Consider the following 24990-nt stretch of genomic DNA (forward strand, 5'->3'; position numbering starts at 1 on the left):
GACCTTTTTTCCTCAAGAAAAATACTTCTCGTAGGCGAGATAGATATGTAAATAAAGTACAGGAAAATGTGGTGAGTATAATAATAGAAATGTGTATATTGGGCTGGGTGCAGTGGCTCACACCTGTGATCCCAGCACTTTCGGAAGCTGAGGTGGGCAGATCACCTGAGGTCAGGAGTTTGAAACCAGCCCGGCCAACAAGGTGAAATCCCTTCTCTACTAAAAATACAAAAATTAGCCAGGCATGGTGGTGCATGCTGTAGTCCCAGCTACCTGGGAGGCTGAGGCAGGTGAACTGCTTTAACCTGGGAGGCGGAGGTTGCAGTGAGCCGAGATGCGCCACTGCACTCCAGCCTGGGCAACAGAGCGAGACTTCATCTCAAAAAAAAAAAAAAAAGGTATGTGTTTATATATATACATGATATAGAAGTTACAGAAAAGTAGCAATGATTGTTTGGAGTAGCAATGGAACAAGTAGGTCAAGGATGGGTTCTAGGAGGAGTTCGAAAATATATACCAGGTAGATAAAGGGTCGTTCGTATTTCAAAATAACATGCATGATGATCAGTGGACCACACATTATTGATTCAACTGTTTTAAAGAAACCAAATAACAGTGATTTAACTTTGATAGAAAGTTAATTTTCTCCCAAGTTTAAATTGGTTTTCAGCTCAGGGCTTCTTCGCTCCACAGGATTATCCAGGGATCAAGGTTTCCACCCCACCTCTTTTTTGTTGTTGCAGTCTTCTAGGGTTTTTTTTTCTATGTGGTTGAAGCTTGCTGACTACTATGTCTGAATTGTAGCCTGTGTGAAAGAGGCAAGAGGAGATACAGAATAAGCAATTTCTTACAAGCATGTGAGCTATTGCTCTCATCACTTTTGCCCCATCCCATGGTCCATAGCTTAGTCATACGGCTTAGCTCAAGGTCTGTGTTTTGTAGCATCTAGGTGGGTGATCATGTGATCATATACCTGGCTAAACTTTATTAAAAGAAGAGGGGAGAGATTTGGGGAGAAATTAAGGTTTTGCCATACCTGAGGAAGAACCAGGAAACCTAAAGGAATAAGAAAATAGAAGGCAAGAATTTTTTTGTTGTTGTTATATCCCCAACTCCTAGAAGAGTGCCTGACATATAGCAGGTACTCAATAAATAATTGTTGGATGAATATATATATATGTATGAATAAACAAAATTTTCTAATTTAAGATCAATTAGAAATTATTAAACAACATTTCAAATTATATAGTGAATCAGTGGGAGAGCTTTTGTCTACAAAATTTAACCAATGTGAAACTAAACTTTTAAAAGTGGAGTAATATCGCTGGAATTGTTGGAATTTCACAAAATGACAGAATTAACTGTCTTGTCCTCTATTTATTATAAAAATATTTAGGCAGGTGTATAGTTTGATGTTACTCAAGAAAGTTAAAACGTGTCCAAATACTGTAGCATTAACCTGTCAGAATAGAGACTTTGAAGTAATTTTCAAAGGGTGACTGTTAGTATTTTATAACATACCACAAATCCATTTTATATTAGCTGTGAGGCTCTCAGAACTTGCTTTGTTTTTTTTTCACTGTTAGATTTCTTGCATGATTTAAAATACTTGGCCTTCAGCCTGCTTCTCCAGAACACTTCTAAGTGTAATCGAAGGCCACTTACATTGTTGCTGGGTTTTCTTCACTTGTTCTTCATTATAAGATAAGAGTTCTTTCTAATTTTCTATAAATGTTGACTATCCCATTTTACAGAGGTATATATAATACCTTTCTGTTTGTCAAAAACTAAAATGTTCTTTCCTTTCACTTTTGTTAATATTGACTACCTCACATATTTCAAAAACAAAGAAAAGTGATAGCATTGTAGTTGAGGTTTCTTTCATTTGCTGAGAGTGGTAATCAAAGAATGGAACTTTCCACTAGGAAAAAATTACTTAAGCTATAAAATACGGTATATTAGGACTTGTCATAAGAAGTATTTATCAACAAAATAGGGCATGGCTATAGTTTAAAGAAAAATTTAAAATGTGTTTATTTGCTTTTTTTAGCCTTTCATAACATTTAATACCATAATAAATTACATAACTCTCATGACCTATTATATATATTCAAGAACCTATAAAATATATATATTCAAGAACCTGTAAAATCAGATCCATGTTATATATATATATATGTGTGTGTGTGTGTGTGTTTTCTAGTAGCAATTAGCAGACTTTTATGGCTGAATCCAGTTGGGTAGAGTTTCATAAATATAGAAGCACTTACTGTAGTTTTCATAGGTTTTAGATTTTACAGTCAATTCTAACTAAAAAATCTTTGGGGATTAATAAAGTTAGGTAAAAGTTGGAAATAAAAACAGATTTGCATAGGTAATGCACACTGGAACTTTAAAGAAGTGCAATGTACTATGAAAGTGACTTAGTTTTTTATCTTTTTAAGAATAATTTTGGTGTCTTTATAAGTGCTTTGCTATCATTGTAGCAACTTGGTAGAATTTGCCACATTTTGTAAAACATGTTTGGTCTTCAAAAGTATGTTTAGTTAAAGATTGCTATATTTTCAATCAACTTCTGCTTTTTTTCATTTCAAAGTAATTCCTTTCAAGTGTACCTGTATATACAAATGAAGCCTTTTAAAATGACTTACTCTAATATTTTTTGACAAATCATAAAATAAGGAATTTTGATATTTTATCTTAGAACATTGGAGACTCCTTGGGTTCATAGCGTTTTTCAAAAGAAAATCTAAAGAGAAATTAATCCATATTCATACATTTCAGGTAAGAAAGTAAGGAAATGAAACATCACACATTGTCTTGAGATCTGTTGCTTCATACAGCCGTAGCTCTAGTAAGCTCTTTCCCAAAAAAGGGAAAACTGCTGAGCAGAGAGACTATAGGAACCTGCATGTGGGATCACCTGAGGTTTGCTTCTTGAGTGGCAAAAGTTGAAATACAAACACAGGAAGTCTGGCTTCTGCTAATTAGCACATACTTTTATGTCCCGAACAAATTCTCTTCTTCTTCTAAAGGAAGAAGGGTGATTTTGCTTTTATTCCCTCTATAGTACCCTTCTCCCTTCCATTCATCCTTTTTTTTTGAGACAGTGTCTTATTTACTCTGTCCCCCACAATGGAGTGCAAGTGGCACGAACTTGACTCACTGCAACCTTCACCTCTTTGTTTCAACTGATTCTTGTGTCTCAGCCTCCTGAGTAGGTGGGGATTACAGGCGCCTGGCACCACATCCAGCTAATTTTTTGTATTTTTAGTAGAGATGGGGTTTCACCAGGTTGGCCATGCTAGTCTCCTGGCTTCAAGTGATCTGCCCACGGTCGCCTCCCAAAGTGTTAGGATTACAGGCATGAGCCACTGCGCCCGGCCCCATTCATTCCTTGATTTAGGACTTCAGCATATCACACCAAATCTAGTAAAAGTTAAAAAACTTTTCAGTGGTTCTACATGTGCTGGCATCTCCTTTAATAACTCTCTGTCCCTTTATTACTATTTTCTATGACAAAGTACACATGTACACACATTCTGAATGCCTGCCGAGTGGCAAAAACTGTTCCTAACTATGGGGATATATTGTTGTCCAGAAGTTCTTGCCCTCAACTAGATCACTTTCTAGTTAGGGTATAGATAATATACAAATAAATATATATGTACTTATGATGGTGGAGTGTGTGTATGTGTGGCTATTATAGAAAGGTTGGTCAGGGAAGGCCTGCCTCTCTAAATTGGAGGTAACATTTGAATAGAGACTGAATGAAATAAGAGAACAAGTTATGAAGATATCTGAGAGAAAAGTATTCTTGAGACAGGAGGCAGCAAGTACAAAGGCTCTGAGAAAAAAAGGGGATTGAGCTTTTATAGGAACAAGAGGTATTTCTTCTGGGTGTTAGAAAAGGCTAAAATATCTTTGAAGAAAAACATGCTCAAAAAGTTCTGAGAAAAGTATTAAATACACAAAGGAAACTACTTTGATACAGGAGGACATAGAATTACATATTTTACTGACAATACATTCCTGAATATCTTTACATAATAGCAATCTTAACTTGCTTTTATTTGAATAGAAAAGCCTTTCGTGCAGAGTTTTTTTTTTTTTTTAACATCAGGAAACCCTTATGAGGCTAACAATAGACTTCAAGATTCTGTGAACTTCCTGAAATTTTATGCAGAGTACTGTGTGTACGTGCATGTGTACATTTTTCTTGGGTGAGTGGTTGTGTTTTCCATCAGGAATTCATGACTCATTCGTTGAGCAAATAGTTATTGGGTACCTACTATATGCCAGGCGTTACTCTAGATAATGGGGTTATATACATCAACAAAGTAGACAACAATCCTTGCCTTCATGGGATAGACGTGTAGATGGTATAAAGGTAGATATCTGTTGATAGAAGATGAATGGTAGAAAATAAGTAAAAAAAAGAAAGTATTTTAGATGGAAGTGCTAAGGAGGAAAAAACAAGTTGGAAGAAGGAAGTGTATGTAAGTAGTAGAGTTAGGATATTGAAATTTTAGATAGGATATCTCATGTGAACTTCTCTAAAAACATGACTTTTGAATCATGATCCAAAGAAAGTGACCGAAGGAAGGCGTTACATGCAGAAGAAACAGCAAATGCAAGGCCTTGACAGTATATCTGGTATGGTTGAGGACTAGCATAGCTAGCGTGGCTAGAGCAGAGAGCAGGGGTTGTAGGTGATTAGGTCATAGTAAGGCTACTGTCTTTTAGTTAGAGTGAGATGGAGACCCTTTGAAGGGATTGAGCAGACTAACATGATCTGGCTTCTAAAAGGCTCAGTCTCACTGCTGTATTGGCAGTAGACTGAAGGGAACCTGGATGGAAGCAGAGTCCAGTTAAGGGTCTTTTGCAATAACCTTGGCTAGAGATGAGAGTAGCTTGGACCTATTCATTAACAGTGAAAGTGATGACACTGACTGGAGTCAGGATATACTTTAAAGATATAGTTTATGGAATTTACTGATTGAATGGATATGAGGTGTGATAGAAAGTGAAGAGAGCCAAGAATGGTTGCAAGATTTTTTGCTGACAAAACTGGAATAATGAAGTTGCTTCTAATTGATAGGAAAGATTACAAAGCAGAGTAAATGAATAGGCGGAAGGGTTATTATCAGAAGCTCAGATTTGGACCTGTTAAGTTTGAGATGCCTTTTAGATGTCCAAATGGAACTGTGTAATAGGTCATTGGATATTCAAGTCTGAATCAGAGAAAAGGGCTGGGATAGGGATCAAATTTGTGAGTCATCTGCATATAGATAGTTCTTAAACTTTGATTTTCCTCAGTAAGTATGATGTTTGCTGTTTGTTTAAATATTCTTTATTATGTAAATGAATAGTTTTTAAAAGAGGTTTGATATTTAGCAGAGGAGCTGATATTTTTGTTATTTATCTATTTATTTATTTTTGAGATGGAGTCTCGCTCTGTCTCCCAGGCTGGAGTGCAGTGGCGTGATCTTGGCTCACTGCAACCTCTGCCTCCTGAGTTCAAGCGATTCTCCTGCCTCAGCCTCCTGGGTAGCTGGGATTATAGGTGCGCACCACCATACCTGACTAATTTTTGTAGTTTTAGTAGAGACAGGGTTTCACCATGTTGGCCAGGCTGGACTTGAACTCCTAACCTCAGGTGATCTGCCCGCCTCAGCCTCCCAAAGTGCTGGGATTACAGATGTGAGCCACTGTGCCCGACCCTGGTTTGTCCTTTTAATTGTGGATATACATTGGAATTTACTGAATAGTTTTTAAAACAATCTGTTGAGATAATTATTTTCTATAATCTATTGACATAACATACTAACTTATATCCAACTATTCTTATATTCCAAGGATAAACCCTATTGTATATTATTGTTTTCCAAATATTTCTGGCCACTATCATAGTAAAAAATAATTTTTGTATCATGACTCAATCAAACTTATGTGTGTATGTGAGAAAAAAGTTTCATGAGGGCCGGGTGTGGTGGCTCACACCTGTAATCCCAGCACTTTGGGAGGCTGAGGCAGATGGATTACTTGAGGCCAGGAGTTCAAGACCAGCCTGGCCAACATGGTGAAATCCCGTCTCTACCAAAAAATAAAAAAATTAGCCAGACGTGGTGGTATGCACTTGTAGTCCCAGCTACTTGGAAGGCTGAGGCAGGAGAACTGCTTGAACCTGGGAGATGGAAGCAGGAGAATCGGTTGAACCTCAGGGGCGGAAGCAAGAGAATCGCTTGAACCTGGGAGGCGGAGGTTGCAGTGAGCCGAGATTGCATCACTGTGCTCTAGCCTGGGAGACAGGGTAGGACTCTGTCTCAAAAAAAAAAAAAATAGTTTAATGATACTATACTTATTATATGCAATGCAGTGAGTTTTTTTTCCCTATTCTTTCTGTCCTTCATGTTGATTGCAGACCACCACTGGTTTCTCTCAGCTGGAAATTATAAACCTTGGAAAATATAGTTATACAAGAATCTTTTAAATGCCTTTGAATTTAGTTTGATGATTGTTAGATTTTTGCATCTATAGTTATTGGTACTATTAATCAGTGTGTTTCGTGCCATTTTTATCTGGATTTGATGTCAGGATTATGAACTTCAAAGCTTCCCATCTTTTTCTGTGCTCAAGAGCAGTTTATATTACATGGGAATTATCTTTGTCTTTCAAGTTTGAAAAAATTAATAAAAGCAGCTTGTCCAAGAGCTTATTTTTGGAGGAGGGTCATAATTCTTTGATAATTACTGTTTCTTATGACTGGACCCATCTTTCACTAGATAGTTCTGAATCTTGCCTCCTCCCTTCATTCACGGCTCCGCTCAAATACCACATTTTAGAGAAGCCCCCACCTTGAGACCCCTTCTCACAAAGCAGTCCTCATGCCTTTCATTCCTTTGATTACATTTTTTTTCATAGTGCTTATTGCTACTTGGCATGCTATATATGTGTATGTTTGTCATGTTTGTCATGTTCTCTCCTTCCTACTAGAGTGTTAGCTTCATGATGGTAAGAACGTGGCCTATCATTTTTACTCATAGTCTATTCATTTTACTTTGTACATCAAGAAAAATTTATGGTACATATCGGTACTCAGTATTTGTAGAATAAATTAATAACCTTTTTCATCTTTCATGGCTCATAGTCTGTTTTTTCTCTTAATTTCTTAAGTGAATTTTGGTAGTTATATACCTAAGAAAGCCATCCAAATTTACTAGCATAACTTTGTACTTAGAATCTTATTTGTAAATGCCCTCAGTATCTGCATATGTTTTCTCCCACTTTTTTATTTCAAAAAATTTCAAATGAGTAGAAAAGTTGAAAGAACAGTACAAAGAACACCCATATACTACTCATCACCTAGATTTACCAATTTTGTCACATTTGCTTACAAAAACTAATACAACTAGATTACTTACAGAAACTAGTAGGTATTCTTTTGTGAATTTTCTAAACCACTTGAAAGTAAGTAACAGGCATTGTAGTACTTCACCCGTAAACATTTTAGCATGCATAGCCTGAGGCTAGGGATATTTTCATATATGTATGAAAAATAATGAAATATATATGTTTAATATGTATTAAACTATATAATTAGATATATATGTGTGTGTGTATTTAACTGTGAATAGATTTATAGAGATATAATTAAGTACTTTTTTTTTTTTGTTTTTTGTTTTTTTTTCTTTTTTGAGACCTAGTCTCGCTCTGTCACCCAGTCTGGAGTGCAGTGGTGTGATCTCGGCTCACTGCAAGCTCCACCTCCCGGGTTCACACCGTTCTCCTGCCTCAGCCTCCTGAGTACAGGTGCCCGCCACTATGCCCGGCTAAGTACTTTTCTTTTTAAGAACAGTTTTTAAAATTTAATTATTGGTACTTTTTAAATTTGTAGTTTATTGCTGCTTTTTTTCCTTATCCTGTTTTTCTGAGATGTGTTGTTGGTTTTCTGATTATCTAAGTTATATATGAGATTTGTGAGGTTTTTTTTTTTTAAATGATGAAAGAGTTTCAGTGTGTGAATTTGCCTCTAATTACAATTTTGGCTGCATCACCATGTTTTGATTCTTAGTTTTCTTGTTATTATTTTCTAAGTAGTCTGCAATGGCACTTTTTATTTCTTATTTGGGAGAGTATTTTATACTTTGCAACCTTTTTTGGCTTAAGTTTTTTAATATTTTTGTTTTATGGCTGAAGAATGCATCCTTTGTAGTTTCTATTTTTTAAAATATCTTGAGACTTTCATTCTGGCATATATGGACACTTGAAAATAACATGTGTTCTGAGAATTCTAGGTAAAGATAGTGGTTTGAACACCACAGTGGTAACTTATTAGAAAATTCCAACTCTTAAATCAGCAATGGCAAAAGCCAAACACAATCTAAACCTTAGTATCTTTAAAAGACTTAAAATGGGGCTCTAGATACCTCTGGAACTGCATGTTAGTGGTGAGCTTGGGGATGGGACAGGAGGAATCTGAAAAAGGGAATTTTTTTATCCTTACTTTATCATGCTGGGTAACTGCCCTTTCCTTGCCAGCACATGACTGGAGAGATTAAAATATAGGGTCTCTACACTGGGGGAGATCAGGAGTTGAAACTGAAAATAAGGAGATTAAGTGAATATATCAATATTGAATGCTGAGAAACTCCCCTTACCCTCCACCACCATTTCTCTTCCTTGATTTAGCTCCCAGAACTCTGGCAGCCAGGCCTCACCCTCTAGGCAGGAGATAAGAAGAGGTTTAGTTCAAGGATCTAATGATAGTAAGGCTTTTGACCCAGCTTTACAATTTTTTCCTTCCCATTTTGAACATTCATGGTGGCTTTCCTCTCTCTTTCCATTTCTGGATAAAGAGATACTTGGTCATTTCTGGTACTTTGTGAGAACTATTTGACATGATTTAAGAATCATTCTTATAGTTTTTTTCTTTTTTACTTTTTTTTTTTTTTGAGACAGAGTCTCACTCTGTTGCTCAAGCTGGAGTGCAGTGGTGCGATCTTGGCTCACCGCAACCTCTGCCTCCTGGGTTCAGGTGATTCTCTTGCCTCAGTCTCCTGTTTAGCTGGGACCACAGGCGCATGCCACCGTGCCCAGCTAATTTTTGTATTTTTAGTAGAGACGGGGCTTCGTCATGTTGGCCAGTCTGGTCTTGAACTCCTGGCCTCAAGTGATCCACCTGCCTTGGCCTCCTAAAGTGCTGGGATTTCGGGCGTGAGCTGCCTCATCTGGCCTATAACTTGTTTTTGATGCTTGTTTTCAGGTTTCTCTTCTGTCTTCCTCTCTCCCATGTTCTCTTTACCTTTTTTTTCTTTTAATAGCTCTTTGAAGTTTTTCATTTCTATTTTCTTCTTCCCTTTCTCTCATTACTTTTTTATCCCACTCTTTTATACTTTTCCCTCCCTCCTTGGTCATCTACTTACATGTCAGAAAGACATGAAAGATAGAATGAAACCTATCAGAAAATTAATGTGAATTAGTGGGAAGTGTGTCTCACAGAATAGTTTTTCAATGACATGCAACCTAATTAATTTTAGTTACAGAGTGTCTAATAAAAAATATTGCCTGGTAGATGTTGCCTGAATTAATGCTATATAATTAACAAATTGTTGTTTTAAAAGGTTGTTTTCTAAAGATGTTTAAATGTTTTCTTATAATCTTATTTACATTATTTATGTTTTTAAAACATATTTGGCACAGTTTCTGAATTATTAATTCCAAGTTAGTGACATCAGTAAGTTTATTGTGAAGCATCAATTCCTCCTGTGAGTAGAGCCCTACTCTGTTTTTTTATATCACAGGACAGATTCCTGTTAGTATACTATAAATCAAGTTAAGTCAATAAAAGCAAATAAAGTATTGTAAATAAACTACATACTTTAAAAATATGGATGTTACTTGTTCTGTTTCAGTTTAAAAACTATTACTATAGTATTTTAATAATATTTAATTCAAATATAAAATCTTGATTATTTGGAATGAGGAAAAATGATAAAAATTTCACTAAGTACAATTGAAATGATGAAAAACCTCTTTAAAGTACAATATATAAATGCATTTATATGATAGCCTAGGAGATTAGGCATTAAGTTAAAACATTAAAGAAAAAAACTATAGCCATATTACAATCATGTAAATATCCAGATCTTGAGAACATGTAAATAATAATGCTATTGGCAAATCCAATCTAAGCTTGTTTTCTAGAGAGAAGAAAAGAGTAAGACAACTCAGAGTTATATTTATACCAAATCATGTCAAGGCCTGATTTAACAAGTATTTCTTGTCTGGATTTCAAATATATTTGGAGCTTTGACATACTTAATATAAAAGCAAAGCCTTTGATATGTTCTTTGTTTTTCTTCTTTTTAAAGTGTAGACATGGTCCAATTATAGGTGAGTATCATTTTGTGTGCTTGTGTAACAGTGAATGGTTTTGTGGCAAGCGTATTGTCAACCTGGCAGCTGATAAAAGCTGAAGCATATTGTAACAAAAATAAACAAGTTCAGGACAAGGGACTATAAACAATAGTAAAATCTTATGTTGAAATTAGAGAGCCTTTGGTTTTAGTGAACATGTTAGAACAGGAAAAGTGAATGTTCTGGAGTTCAGCCAAACAGCAAGATGTGGATAGTATAAGACATGGAAATTAAATGCTTATTTTGAAGCAACTGGGTCCATAGGTTGAAATAGTAGCTAGCCAGGAATATTGCTTACATCTACAAACAATAACTGGATAAAAGGAAGCAGCCCATTGGTTCATGGCTCACTGCCACTTCCCTTCCTCCTTTTCCCTTATTCCTTCTAGTTAATAATTAACTTTTCTTTTGTTGCATTATTTTTGGTGTACTATAGTGTACTGTGTCATAAATAAGGGAATTATAAAGAGAGGAAAATAAACTTTAGAATGTAAAGTAGAGGAAGTAGGCTGGCAATAGATCTTAGATCTCCAAGGATATGGAGCTAAGAAAGAGGAAAAACTAATATTTATCCAGAATCCTCCATTCTGTGTCAGCTCTGTCTTTGTTGCTTTATTATAAGAGAAGTATATTTAGTTGGGGTGAGTCATCCTTGCAGTATTTTATGTTACATCATTTGAATTATTTTTGATCAAAAACTATTTTTGATCAAAAATAATTTATTATCATTTCTAGTGTTCTTACCTATATTATCACAAAATCAGATTTTAATTTCCCAGAAGTTTTGGAAATTCAAAGTGTGACTCTCCCCTACTAACAGATTTGAATAATAGCATAAGAAAAACCATACCGTTTGAGAGAAATAGCTAACTTTTCTCATTAATCCATTGTATTTACAATGTAGTGATCATAGATAATAGAATGACACATGATGAAAAATATAAATGTTGCATAATGTGTAAAAAGGGAGTAAACTGATCTCCTTTCCCTTGCCAGCCACTTTGCTGCATAGGCAGCTTTCTTTTGTTGGCTTTATTTAAAAAGCAGTGGTAAGCTGGGCATGGTGGCTTATGCCTGTAGTCTCAGCTACTCAGGAGGCTGAGCAAGAGGATCTCTTGAGCCTGTGAGTTCAAGATCATTCTGGGCAACATAGCAAGATCCCACATCTCTAAATAAAAATAAAAATAAAAACAAAAACAAATTTAAAACCAGTGGATAAATATGATAGCATTTACTGAATTCTGTCTTTATCCAAATGCCTGGAGAAGAAATTAAGTGGATCTGAAAGATAATTCCTTATGAGTGTCATTAGTATTACATCTAAAAAAAATAACATTTATTAATATAGTATTTACAGAAACAATAAAAACATCTATAAGGCCATGTTATGAATTATTAAATATAAATACAAAGTTAAGCATTTTCCAAACAGCTTTATCATAAATAATGATAAAAGCTGCTTTTGCCTCAGAGCACCCTTCTCCCATTACAGATTTTGGCAAATATTCATTTGTTAAAGTGATGTAAAGCATAGCTTATACCACAGCTTGTCTTTATATGAATTTTCATGTATTTGTAGATAAATAATGTTTTCTAAAACAGAGGCTGGCAAACAATGGCTCCGTGGCCTGTTTTTGTATGGCCTGTGAGCTTAGAACCCCTTTAAAGGGTTTTATTTAAAAAAAAAAATAGAAGAATAATATGGAACAGAAAGCATAAGTTGCCCTTAAAGTCTAAAATGTTTACCATCTATCTCTTTACAAAAAATATTTACCAAGTTTAAAATATAAATACATAATGTATAAACCTGGGAGGTTTCAGTTCCAGGTGAGACAGCATAATCACAAGACACCCTCTCTCTCCCACTGAATGCAGCTGTTATAAATGGACAGAATACATGGAATAGCTACTTGAGGATTCTGAAAAGTAAATAATAGCAGGTTGGGAGAGAAGACCAGATTTCGAAGTACCATCAAACTAGTGGCAAGTTTGCCATTTGTCCCCTTCTGTCGTCACCTGGCCTGGTCTCAACACTGCCTGAAATTAGGCAGCAGACCTAAGTGTAGGCAGAGAGAGCTCCAGGAGAAACCGTCCAGTTATAGGCTTGAGAAGTGGAAATCATGTCTCCTTGTAGTAATAGTAGGTATAGGGCAGGGGTCCCCAATCCCTGGGCTATGGACTGATAATGGTCCGTGTCCTATTATGAACTGGGCCTCACAGCAGGAGGTGAGTGGTGGGGGAGCAAGCAAAGCTCCATCTGTATTTACAGCCGCTCCCCATGGCTCGCATTACTGTCCAAGCTCTGTCTTGTGTCATCATCAGTGGCAGCATTAGATTTTCAAAGGAATGCAAACCCTATTGTGAACTGTGCATACAAGGGATCTAGGTTGCATGCTCCTTCTGGGAATCTAATGCCTGATGATCTGAGGCGGAGCCGAGTTAGTGATACTAGTGCCGGGGAGCCACTGCAAATACAGATTAACATTAGCAGAGAAATTTGACTACACAGAGGCCATAATAAATCAATTGCTGCAGTCTCATATCAGAACCCTGTCAGTGAGTGGCAGGTGACAATAAAGCTGCATCTGGTGGCAGGCTTTATAATGGCAGGTAAGCTGATGTACTTCAATTGTGCAGCTGCATTTGGTGGCAGGCTTTAAGTCAGAATCCAACCCTTATTTTAGTCCGTGTATGTCCTGCCTATTATTTGATTTACCACTTCCCTCTGCACCTCTTTCCCGCACTGCGCACTTGTCTCAGTCACAGTTTTGGTAAGCCCACAGGCTAACCCTAGCCAAAATGAGTACAAAACAAATGCCACTGGAGAGCTTTTTTGAAAAGGGGGAAAGACTCAATGACGAGACAGCAGAAGACTCTAAGACTGCCAGCCAAAAGAAAGCTGCATTTAAAAGAAATACCAAGAGCAAGATTCCTTCTTAAATTAACGGGTTTGTTGCAATGGGTGATTCACATTCTCCAAGCCCACTTTGTATAATATGTGGTGACTGGCTGTCCAGTGAAGCCATGAAATCCTCAAAACTGCTTTGTCACATGGAGACCACTTACCCTTCATTAAAAGGCAAGCCTTTGGAGTTTTTCAAAAGAAAAGAACGTGAACACGAAGAACAGAAGCAATTATTGAAGGCCACCACTTCATCAAATGTGTCTGCACTGAGAGCATCATTCTTAGTGGCTAACCACATTGCTAAAGCTAAAAAGCCCTTTACTATTGGTAAGGGGTTGATCCTGCCTGCTGCTAAGGACATTTGTTGTGAACTTTTAGGAGAAGCTGCATTCGAAAGGTGGCACATGTTCCTCTTTTGGCTAGCACTGTAACTAGATGAACTGATGAAATAACAGAGGATATTGAAGCACAATTGTTAGAGAGGATTAATGAATCACTGTGACACACAATCCAGGTTGACAATTCTACTGACGTTAGCAAGGCAACAGTGCTTGTTTTTGTGTGATATATTTTTCAGGAGGATGTATATGAGGATATATTATGTGTACTTTTGTTGCCAACCATTACCACAGCTGCAGAACTATTCAAGTCTTTGAATGATTACACATCAGGAAAACTGAATTAGTCATCTTGTGTTGGTATATACATGGACAGAGTGGCTACCGTGACTGGACAGCTTTCTGGTTTCACTACTTAGGTAAAAGAGGTCACTTCTGAATGTGAGTCTGCGCACTGTGTCATCCATAAACAGATGTTGGCTAGCTGAAAAATGTCACCCGAACTTCAAAATGTTTTGCAGGACGTCATTAAAATTATCAGTTATGTTAAAGTACATGCCCTTAACTCTCATCTGTTCACGCAGCGCTGTGAGGAGATGGACGCAGAGCACAGACGTCTTATACACAGAAGTGAGATGACTTTCTAAAGATAGGTCACTGGCCAGAGTTTTTGAGTTACAAGAGCTGCTCCAGAGATTTCTTTTAGAAAAACAGTTACCATTGGCAGCACATTCAGTGATACAGAATGGGACACAAAACTTGCTTACTTGTTTGACATATTCAGCCTGCTCAAGAAACTCAATCTGCCACTTCTGGGAGCAACAACAACTGTGTTCAAGTTGGCAGATAAAGGGGCTGCATTCAAAGTCAAACTGGAATTACGGGGGTGACTAGTGAACATTGGGATTTCTAACACATTTTAAACAATAGCAGAGATTTTTAAAGAGACTTAGCCAGGGCCTCCTTTCTCCCAGCTGGTGCATGATCACCTCTCTCAGCTTCCGAAGAGTTTGGGCATTACTTCCCAACCACAAAAGGCTCCTGAATTGGGAAGGAATAGATCCTTGGCCCATTTGTGAGATCACAAATGACAGTGACCTTGAAAGTAGGTTTGAGATAGCTTCAAATCTCCATATGTTCTGGATTAAAGTCACTGTGGAATATCCTGAGATTGCCACAAAAGCACTGGAAAGCCTGCTTCCATTTCCAACATCCTCTTTGTGAAGGAGGGTTTTCCACAGTGACAGCAACCAAAACGAGATTACAGAGTAGATTGGACATAAGCAACACACTTCAGGTGTGACTGTCTCCCATCCTCCCCAGATGGGACATCTAGTTGCAGGAAAACAAGCTCAGGGCCCCCACTGATTCTACAGCATGGTGAGTTATATAATTATTTTGTTATATATTACAGTGTAATAATAATAGAAATAGAGTGCACAATAAATATAATGTGCTTAAATCATCCTGAACCTCCCACCCCCACCGCACTGGAAAAACTGTCTTCTACAAAACTGGTCCCTGGTACTAAAAAGGTTGGGACCACTTGTGTAGGGTAAGGCACAGGTATCTAAAACTTTGAGAGAAGGGAACTTTCCTTTTTTAAAAAAAAAGAAAAAAAAAAGGAATTTTGTTTGCGACAGGTCTTGCTGTGTTGCCAAGGTTGGAGTGCAGTGATGTAAGCATAGCTCACTGTAACTTCAAACTTGGAGTCAAGGGATCCTCCTTTTTCAGCCTCTCAAGTAGTTAGGACTACATGCGCTCCACACGTGGCTAATTTTTAATTTTCTTTTTAGAGATGGAGTCTTGCTATGTTGCTCAGGCTGGCCTCGAACTCCTGTTCTCAAGTGATCCTCCAGCCTCAGCACCCAGCATGCTGGGATGAGAGGTGTGAGCCACCACACCCAGCTAGAACCTGTCTTTATGTTTAGAGGAGCTGTAGTCACAAGAGGGTGGGGCATACCACCCTTGCTTTTTTTCTCTGTCTTTGTCCTCTGAGGGCTAGTTGGCCCTCAGTGGAGAAACATTTGGTTGCAAAAAGTGTCAGAACTGGGTAAATAAAGCCCCAGCTTTCTTGGCAGAGCTGAAAAGGTGAGCCTCAGGGAACCCAGAAGTACGGGGGAGATCAAGCAGAGTGTGGAACTTGGAAAAGTGATCTCATAAAACTATAAACTCCTGGAGATGAAATAAATGGAGATGACAGAAGAGAGTCAGGGAACTCTAAGATCATAGAAATTTTCCAATCTGAAAAGCAGAGAGGCAAAAGACTGGAAAAAAATGAAGAGAGCCTGAGGGTCCTGTGGGATAGTAACAAAAGATCTAACTTTCACATCAGTGGAATTCCAGAAGGAAAGAAGAAGCGTGGTACAGAAAATTACTTAAAGAAATAATGGCAGGATTACAGAGAAACTGCAACTCTCATACATTTCAAGTAGGAATGCAAAGTAGTACAGCCACTGTGGAAAACAGTTGTATCTTGTAAAGCTCATCATACAATTACCGTATGTCCCAGCAGTTCTACTGTGGGTTTTTAACTCCACACAATGAAAAATTTAAAGTGAAATGAAAACCTACATTCACACAGATATCTGAACACAAATGTTTACAGTAACTCTATTGATAATTATTAAAAGCTGGAAAAACCCAGTTTTGTTCATAGATGTTTTCCTACATGTGAAAAAATCTCTGGTGCATCATACAGTGGAATTTTACTCAGCAATAAAAAAAGGTATGAGCTGTTGTATAGACACAGCAACTTAGAATCTCAAAAGGTTTTGTACTGTAACTTAAGTGAAAGAAGCCAGTCTGAAATTGTTACTTACTGACACCAAAAGCACAGACAACAAAAGAAGTAGAAGATAAATTGGACTTCATCCAAATTTAAAACTTTTGTGCGTTAAATGACATTATCAATAGAGCACAAAGGCAACCCACTGAATGGGAGAAAATATCTGGAAATCATATATATGATATGAGACTTGAATCTACAGTACATAAATAACTTTTACAATTCAATAATAGAAAGATAAATAACTCAATTTTGAAAGGAGCACAGAGCCTAAATACATATCTCTCCAAAGATGATATACAAATGGACAATAAACACATAACATTATTAGCTGTCAGGAAAATGCAAATTAAAATCACAATGAGATACCCCTTCATACTCTGTAGGATGGCTATTATTTAAAAAAATAAAATAACAAGTGTTGACGAGGATATAGGGAAACTGGAACTCTTATTTATTGCTAATGGGAATGTAAAATACTATAGCCGCTATGAAAAACAATATGGCAATTCTCAAAAAATTAAACATAGAATTATATGATCCACCAAATCCACTTCTAGATACATACTGAAAAGAATTCAAAGCAGGGACTTGAACAGATGATGGCATACCCATGTTCACAGTAGCATTCACAGGAGCCAGAAGGTACAAGCAGCCCATATGACAATTAACAGATGAATGGATAAAGTGCAGCACACACATGGAATGCAATAGTATCAGCCTTTACAAATGAAGGAAATTGACGCATCCTACAACATGCATGAACCTTGAGAACATTTTGTTATGTGAAATAAGCCGGTCACAAAAGGACAAATATTGTATCATTCCACTTGTATAAGGTACCTATAACAGTGAAATTCGTAGAGATAGAAAGTAGAATGGTGGTTGCCAGGGGCTGGAGGAAGGGGGCAATGGGGAGTTATTGTTTAATGGGTTATATACTGTTATTTTGTTTATATGACATTTTCAAAAAGAACACTAGTAAATAAGTGGTTACCAGGAGTCAGGAGTGGATGGTGTTTGTGCCTGAGAGAAATCACATGAGGGAATTTTTTGGATTCTGTATCCTGTATTGGAGTGGTCATTACCTGAATGTATGCATGAGTTTCAAAAGATACACCCCCCAAAATGTTAATTTTACTATCTTTCGATTTTAAAAATGTAACTTAAAAAATATATAAACATATAACAACATAATTAGCTTGTTAGGAGCTGTAGTGGTGGTCAGGCAGGGGTTTGGGTTTATGCCTCTAGATCAACAGTGAAAATAATTCTTTTTTTTTTCTTTTTGAGACGGAGTCTCGCTCTCTCGCCCAGGCTGGAGTGCAGTGGCGCATCTTGGCTCACTGCAGCCTCTGCCTCCCGGATTCAAGCAATTCTCCTGCCCTCGGCCTCATGAGTAGCTGGGATTACAGGTGCCCGCCATCATACCTGGTTAATTTTTTGTATTTTTAGTAGAGATAGGGTTTCGCCATGTTGGGCAGGCTGGTCTCGAACTCCTGACCTCAGTTGATCCACCTGCCTTGGCCTGCCAAAGTGCTGGGATTACAGGTATGAGCCACTGTGCCCGGCTGAGAATAATTCTTATATTGCTTTATATCTTCATTAAGAAGTAAACTGTGGGCCAGGTGCACCCTGTCTCTAGTAAAAATACAAAAAATTAGCCGGACATGGTGGTGCACACCTGTAGTCCCAGCTACTCGGGAGGCTAAGGCAGGAGAATCACTTGAACCTGCGAGGCAGAGGTTGCAGTGAGCCAAGATTGCGCCACTGCCCTCCAGCCTGGGCGACAGAGCAAGACTATGTCTCAAAAAAAAAAAAAAAAGTAAACTCTGTCTTGCATTTTATAGCATCTTAAAGGGCTAGTTTAAATAATTTTAAATGCTAAACTAAAACTAATTTTTTTATTAAGAGGTAATAAATGCACATAGTGAAATATTTAGAAAATACTGAATCGTCTAGGTAAGAATACAAAAATCATTCAGAATTCCTGTAATCATTCACCATTTTAGTACTTTTTATTACTGCTCTTTCTGTATGGACGTATTTTTTTTTTATGTAATTGCTATTATATATTGACTTTCGTATTCTTTTCCCTTTAACACTGTATCTTGAACACTTTCCCATGTCATTAAAATCCTTGCAAAGTATTTTAATAGCTGTTTCATAACCTATTATGTAGATATATAATTATTTATTCAACTTTATTTCTTTTGTTGGGCATAATAGATACATAGGAAACCAGAAGTCTATCAGGATCCTACAAAGCTTTCTTTAAAAACAAAACAAAACAAAACAAAAAATGCTTCTGCTATAGCAAAGACTTACAAAACAAAAATGGTGACTTTTACTCATTCATTTCCTCAGACATCCTTCAGTCTGTCTTCTGTCCCAGGAGTCAGCAAACCAAATCCAGCTCTCCACCTGTTTTTGTAGAGAAAGTTTTGTTAGAATACAACTGTGCTCATTTATGTATTGTCTATGATTTCTTTTGCACCAGAACAGCAGAAGTGGAAGAATTGTGACAGAGGCCATTTGGCCTGCAAAACCTAAAATATTTACTGCCTTACCATTTACTAAGAAAGTATGCCAAGTCCTGTTTCTAATATCTCATTATTATAAATATTCTAATGAACATAAATTCAAGGCTCTCATACACACAGAATGCATTCTGTGTCTATGTACGAATGTGGCATTGTTTATTAAAAAATCTGAATTTAGACAAGGTACGATGGCTCATGCCTGTAATCCCAGCACTTTGGGAAGCCGAGATGGGAGAATCGCCTGAGCCAAGGAGTTCAAGAGTAGCCTGGGCAGCAAGATGAGACCCCATCTCTATAAAAATTTTAAAAATTAGCCCAGCGTGGTGGCGCATGCCTGTGGTCCTGGCTACTTGAGAGGCTGAGATAGGAAGATTGCTTGAGGCCAGGAGGCCGAGGCTGTAATGAGGTGTGTTAGTGTCATTGCACTCCAGTCTGGGTGACAGAGTAAAATGCTGTCTCAAAAAAAAAAAGAAGAAAGGTGAATTTAGTGGGTATAAACATGACATCATTTTCTTCATTCTCTTTCAACTGTGCCCGGTACTACTTCCCTTCTGCGTTAGACGCACGCATACTAGACAGATCTCATAGTTCCAGTGCCTGTGTTCCAGTTCAAAACTCTAATCTCATATCCAAAGATTTCCCTTGACTAATTTGGAGCCAGGCTTTGATGGCTTGTGTGTCCTGAAGTGGGGAGCACTTATTGCGATTTCAGCCTCCCAGGTTTGATCTTAGAATACTCAGTTCTAAGTACCTGGCCCCCAGTGCCTTTTCCAGGCCTAACTGCTCTGGGGTAGATGCCTGAAGAGGAGATTAAGGGGGAAAACCCAAATGCCTCTACTTCCCCGCCCATATTTGTGGTCCCCATTTTGGGTGGTTTGATTTCCTTCATATAGCACATGTTCAGTCATTCAGTCTCTCCTTCCTGCAGGTACCACCCAGTCTTTACAGATGAACCTCTTGGAGACTTTCCTCCTCACTTGGCTTCTGCTGCCTCTTGGGTTGGGTGTTGATTATGGTAGGACCTTTTTGGTGGCCTTAATTGTTGGCATCTTTCTTTAGAATATAGGGTACTGAATGCCTTTTTTCCTTTCAGATTTGAGTCTTCATTGTGAATCTTGAAGAAACTTGTTTCAAATGCATATATAAAGTTTATATCAGCTACTGAAACCACTGCTAAGCATTTTAAAACATTTTAAATGACAATGCATTTCTTAGCCAGACAACTGCATAGTAGATACATAGTAGGAAACCCTAAGTCTCAACTGCATAATAGATACATAGTAGGAAACCAGAAGTCTATCAGGATCCAACAAAGCTTTCTTTAAAAAAACAAAACAAAAAATACTTCTGCTATAGCAAAAACTTACAAAACAAAAATGGTGGCTTTTACTCATTCATTTCCTCAGACATCCTTCAGTCTGTCTTCTGTCCCAGGAGTCAGCAAACCAAATCCAGCTCTCCACCTGTTTTTGTAAAGAAAGTTTTGTTAGAATATAACTGTGCTCATTTATGTATTGTCTATGATTTCTTTTACACCAGAACAGCAGAAATGGAAGAATTGTGACAGAGGCCATTTGGCCTGCAAAGCCTAAAATATTTACTGCCTTACCATTTACAAAGAAAGTATGCCAACTCCTGTTTCATACTCTTCTAGAATTCTTTCTAAAACATAGATCAGATATACCATTTATCTGCTTAGAAACATCAAATGGCTTTTCACTGCTGACGGGGTATTTTCTAAGACCTTTACCTTTAAATCCCTTTGCAACCTAGTTTCAGATCACTCCCTCTGGTTCAAATTCAGTATTTCCTGCTGTTTTCAGTTGTGCAACTGGAAGACCAGACTTACAAATGGCAGCTTGCAGGCTGAATTTGGCCACTGGTCTTACTTTTTTGGGCCCAAATAGTGGTGGTGGTTTGTTTTGTCTTATTGAATCAGGATTTAAATACTGGACAGTATCCCATAAAAATCCAGATTTTTAGCTGTTCTTGACAAATCAGGAGTTCTGAGGACATTGGCCCCACAGCCCTCAGTCTGTTAACCCTTAGTTGTAGCAACTCTGCTGTCTCCACCCCTAGTGGTTGCTCTCCACCTCAGCACAACCTGTATCACACACATGGTATAAGCATATGCACCTAAACCCAGTCCTCCTCACTTGTACATGTTTCCCACTTTGGCCACTGTAGGCATTTGAGTTCGTAACCCTGGACCTAGATACAATGAGCTACCTCATGGTCCCCTGATCCACCTTTTATTTTTTTATTTCAATCAGTTTTTGGGGAACAGGTGGTGTTTGGTTACAGGAGTAAGTTCTTTAGTGGTGATTTCTGAGATTTTGGTACACTCATCACCCGAGCAGTGTACACTGTACCCAAAGTGTAGTCTTTTATCCCTCACTCCCCTCCCACCCTTTCCCTTGATTCCCCAAAGTCCACTATATCATTCTTATGCCTTTGCATCCTATAGCTTAGCTCCCTCTTATGAGTGAGAACATACGATGTTTGGTTTTCCATTCCTGAGTTACTTCACTTAGAAAAATGGTCCCCAATTCCATCCAGGTTGCTGTTCTTGCAGGGGTAAGGTGGTATCGCATTGTGGTTTTGATGTGCATTTCCCTGATCATTAGTGATGTTGAGCATTTTTCATGTTTGTTGGGATTTGTGTGTCTTCTTTTGAGAATTGTCTCCCCATGTCCTTAGCCTTCTTTTTGATGGGATTGCTTGTTTTTTTTCTTCCCGATTTCTTTGAGTTTCTTCTAGATTCTGGATATTAGTCCTTTGTCTGATGTATAGATTGCAAAGATTTTCTCCCACTCTTTGGGTTGTCTGTTTACTCTGCTGATTGTTTCTTTTGCTGCGCAGAAGCTTTTTAGTTTAATGAAGTTCCATCTATTTATCTTTGTTTTTGTTGCATTTGCTTTTGGGTTTTTTGGACATGAAGTCATTGCCTAAGCCAGTGTCTAAAAGGGTTTTTCCGATGTTATCTTCTAGAATTTTTATAGTTTCAGGTCTTAGATTTTAAGTCCTTGATCCATCTTGAGTTGATTTTTGTATAAGGTGAGAGATGAGGATCCAGTTTTATTCTTCTACATGTGGCTTGCCAGTTATCCCAGCACTATTTGTTGAATAGGGTGTCCTTTCTCCACTTTATGTTTTTGTTTGCTTTGTCAAAGATGAATTGGCTGTAAGTATTTGGTTTTATTTCTGGGTTCTCTATTCTGTTCCATTGGTCTATGTGCCTATTTTTTATACCAGTACCATGCTGTTTTGGTGACTATGGCCTTATAGTATAGTTTGAAGTCAGGTAATATGATGCCTCCAGATTTGTTCTTTTTGCTTAGTCTTGCTTTGGCTATGTGGGCTCATTCTGGTTCCATATAAATTTTAGGATTTTTTTTTCTAGTTCTGTGAAGAATGATGTCGGTATTTTGATAGGAGTTGCACTTAATTTGTATATTGCTTTTGACAGTATGGTCATTTTCACAATATTGATTCTTCCCATCCATGAGCATGGGATATGTTTCCATTTGTGGGTGTTGTCTATGATTTCTTTCAGCAGTGTTTTGTAGTTTTCCTTGTAGAGGTCTTTTACCTCTTTGGTTAGGTATACTCCTAAGTATTTTATTTTATTTTTTGGAGCTATTGTAAAGAGGGTTGAGTTCTTGACTTGATTCTCAGCTTGGTTGCTGTTGGTGTATAGCAGACCTACTGATTTGTTTACATTAATGTTGTATCTTGAAACTTTGCTGAATTCATTTATCAGTTATAGGAGCTTTTTGAAGGAGTCTTTAGAGTTTTCTAGGTATATGATCATATCATCAGCAAACAGTGACAATTTGACTTCCTCTTTATTGATTTGGATGCCTTTTCTTTCTCTTGTCTAATTGCTCTGGCTAGGACTTCCAGTGCAATGTCAAATAGAAGTGGTGAGAGTGGGCATCCTCCTTGTCTTGTTCCAGTTCTCAGGGTTCAAGTTTTCAACTTTTCCCCATTCAGTATTTTGTTGGCTGTGGGTTTGTCATCGTGGCTTTTATTACATTAAGGTGTGTCCCATCTATGCTGATTTTGCTGAGGGTTTCAATCATTAAGGGATGCTGACTTATGTTAAATGCTTTTTTCTGCATCTATTGAAATGATCATGTGATTTTTGTTTTTAATTCTGTTTATGTGGTGTATCACATTTATTAACTTGCATATGTTAAACTATGCCTGCATCCTGATATGAACCCCAGGTCATAGTGGATTATCTTTTTGATATACTGTTGGATTTGGTCAGCTAGTATTTTGTTAAGGATTTTTGCATCTATAGGCTGGGTGCAGTGGCTCAATCCTAGCGGTGCCTGTAATCCTAGCACTTTGGGAGACTGAGGTGGGTGGATCACCTGATGTCAGGAGTTCAAGACCACCCTGGCCACCATAGTGAAACCACATGTCTACTAAAAATACAAAATTAGCCGGGCGTGGTGGCACATGCCTGTAATCCCAGCTACTTGGGAGGTTGAGGCAGGAGAATCACTTGAACCCGGGAGGCAGTGGTTGCCATGATCCAGGATCACGCAATTGCACTCCAGTCTTGGTAAAAAGAGCAAAACTCTGCCTCAGAAAAAAAAAAAAAAGAGGATTTTTGCATCTATATTCGTCAGAGATATTGATCTGTAGTTTTCTTTTTTTGTTATGTTCTTTCCTGGTTTTGGTATTAGGGTGATATTGGCTTCATAGAACAATTTAGGGAAGATTCCCTATTTCTCTATCTTGTGGAATAGTGTCAGTAGGATCAGTACCAGTTCTTCTTTGAATGTCTGATATCATTCAGCTGTGAATTCATCTGGTCCTGGAATTTTTTGTTGGCAGTTTTGTTGTTGTTGTTTTTAACCATTTCAACCTCACTGCTTATTATTGGTCTGTTCAGAGTTTCTATTTCTTCCTGGTTTAATCTAGGAGGGTTGTCTATTTCCAGGAATTTATCCATCTCTTCTAGGTTTTCTATGTGCGTAAAAGTATCAGAGTAGCCTTTAATGATCTTTTGTATTTCTGTGGTATCAGTTTTAATATCTCCTGTTTCATTTCTAATTGAGCATATTTGGATTTTCTCTTTTTCTTCATTAATCTTGGTAATCATCTATCGATTTTATTTATCTTTTCAAAGAACCATCCATTTGTTTCATTTATCTTTTGTATTGTTTTTTGTTTGTTTGTTTCCATTGCATTTAGTTCTGCTCTGATCTTGGTTATTTCTTTTCTTCTGCTGGGTTTGGGTTTGGTTTATTCTTGTTTCTCTAGTTCTTTGAGGTGTGACTTTAGATTGTCTGTTTTTGCTCTTTCAGATTTTTTGATGTGGCATTGAAGGCTATGAACTTTCCTCTTAGTACTCCGTTTACTGAATCCCAAAGATTTTGATAGGTTGTGTCACTATTATCATTCAGTTCAAATAATTTTTTAATTTCCATCTTGATTTTATTGTTAACCCTATCATCATTCAGGAGCAGGCTGTTTAATTTCTACGGTTTTGAGGGTTCCTTTTGGAGTTGATTTCTACTTTTATTCCACTGTGGTCTGAGACAGTACTTGATATAATTTCAGTTTCTTAAATTTATTGAGACTTGTTTTATGGCCTATCCTATGATCTATCTTGGAGACTGTTCCATGTGCTGATGAATGGAATGTATATTCTGCAGTTGTTGGGTAGAATGTTGTGTAAATATCTGTTAAGCTCATTTGATCTAGGGTATATTTTAAATCCATTGTTTCTTTGTTGACTTTCTGTCTTGATGGCCTGTCTAGTGCTGTCAGTGGAGTTTTGAAATCTGCCACTATTATTGTGTTGCTGTCTATCTCATTTCTTAGGTCTAGTAGTAGTTGTTTTATAAATTTGGGAGCTCCAGTGTTAATGCATATATATTTAGGATTGTGATATTTTCCTGTTGGACAAGTTCTTTTGTCTTTATATAATGTCAAAATATAATGTCTTTGTCTTTTCTAACTGCTGTTGCTTTAAAG

The 24990-nt window shown here is 37.4% G+C and overlaps 1 protein-coding gene and 1 long non-coding RNA gene across 3 annotated transcripts in view; one reads left to right on the forward strand and one right to left on the reverse strand.

Moving 5' to 3' along the window:
• Positions 1–24990, forward strand: part of MRPL1 (mitochondrial ribosomal protein L1) — an 89956-nt gene that overhangs the window by 54843 nt on the left and 10123 nt on the right. The gene's annotated exons all lie outside the window — the stretch shown is intronic.
• Positions 727–24990, reverse strand: part of LOC102724916 (uncharacterized) — a 34112-nt gene continuing 9848 nt past the window's right edge. Inside the window, exons 2-4 of the long non-coding RNA XR_001741744.2 lie at positions 20361–20456; positions 18779–18874; positions 727–805 (exon numbers count right to left, since the gene is read on the reverse strand). This is a non-coding gene — a long non-coding RNA (uncharacterized LOC102724916). The remainder of the gene's footprint in view (positions 806–18778; positions 18875–20360; positions 20457–24990) is intronic.

The sequence above is a fragment of the Homo sapiens genome, chromosome 4 (genome assembly GCF_000001405.40).
Source record: "Homo sapiens chromosome 4, GRCh38.p14 Primary Assembly".
In the NCBI taxonomy this organism is placed as follows: Eukaryota; Metazoa; Chordata; class Mammalia; order Primates; family Hominidae; genus Homo; species Homo sapiens.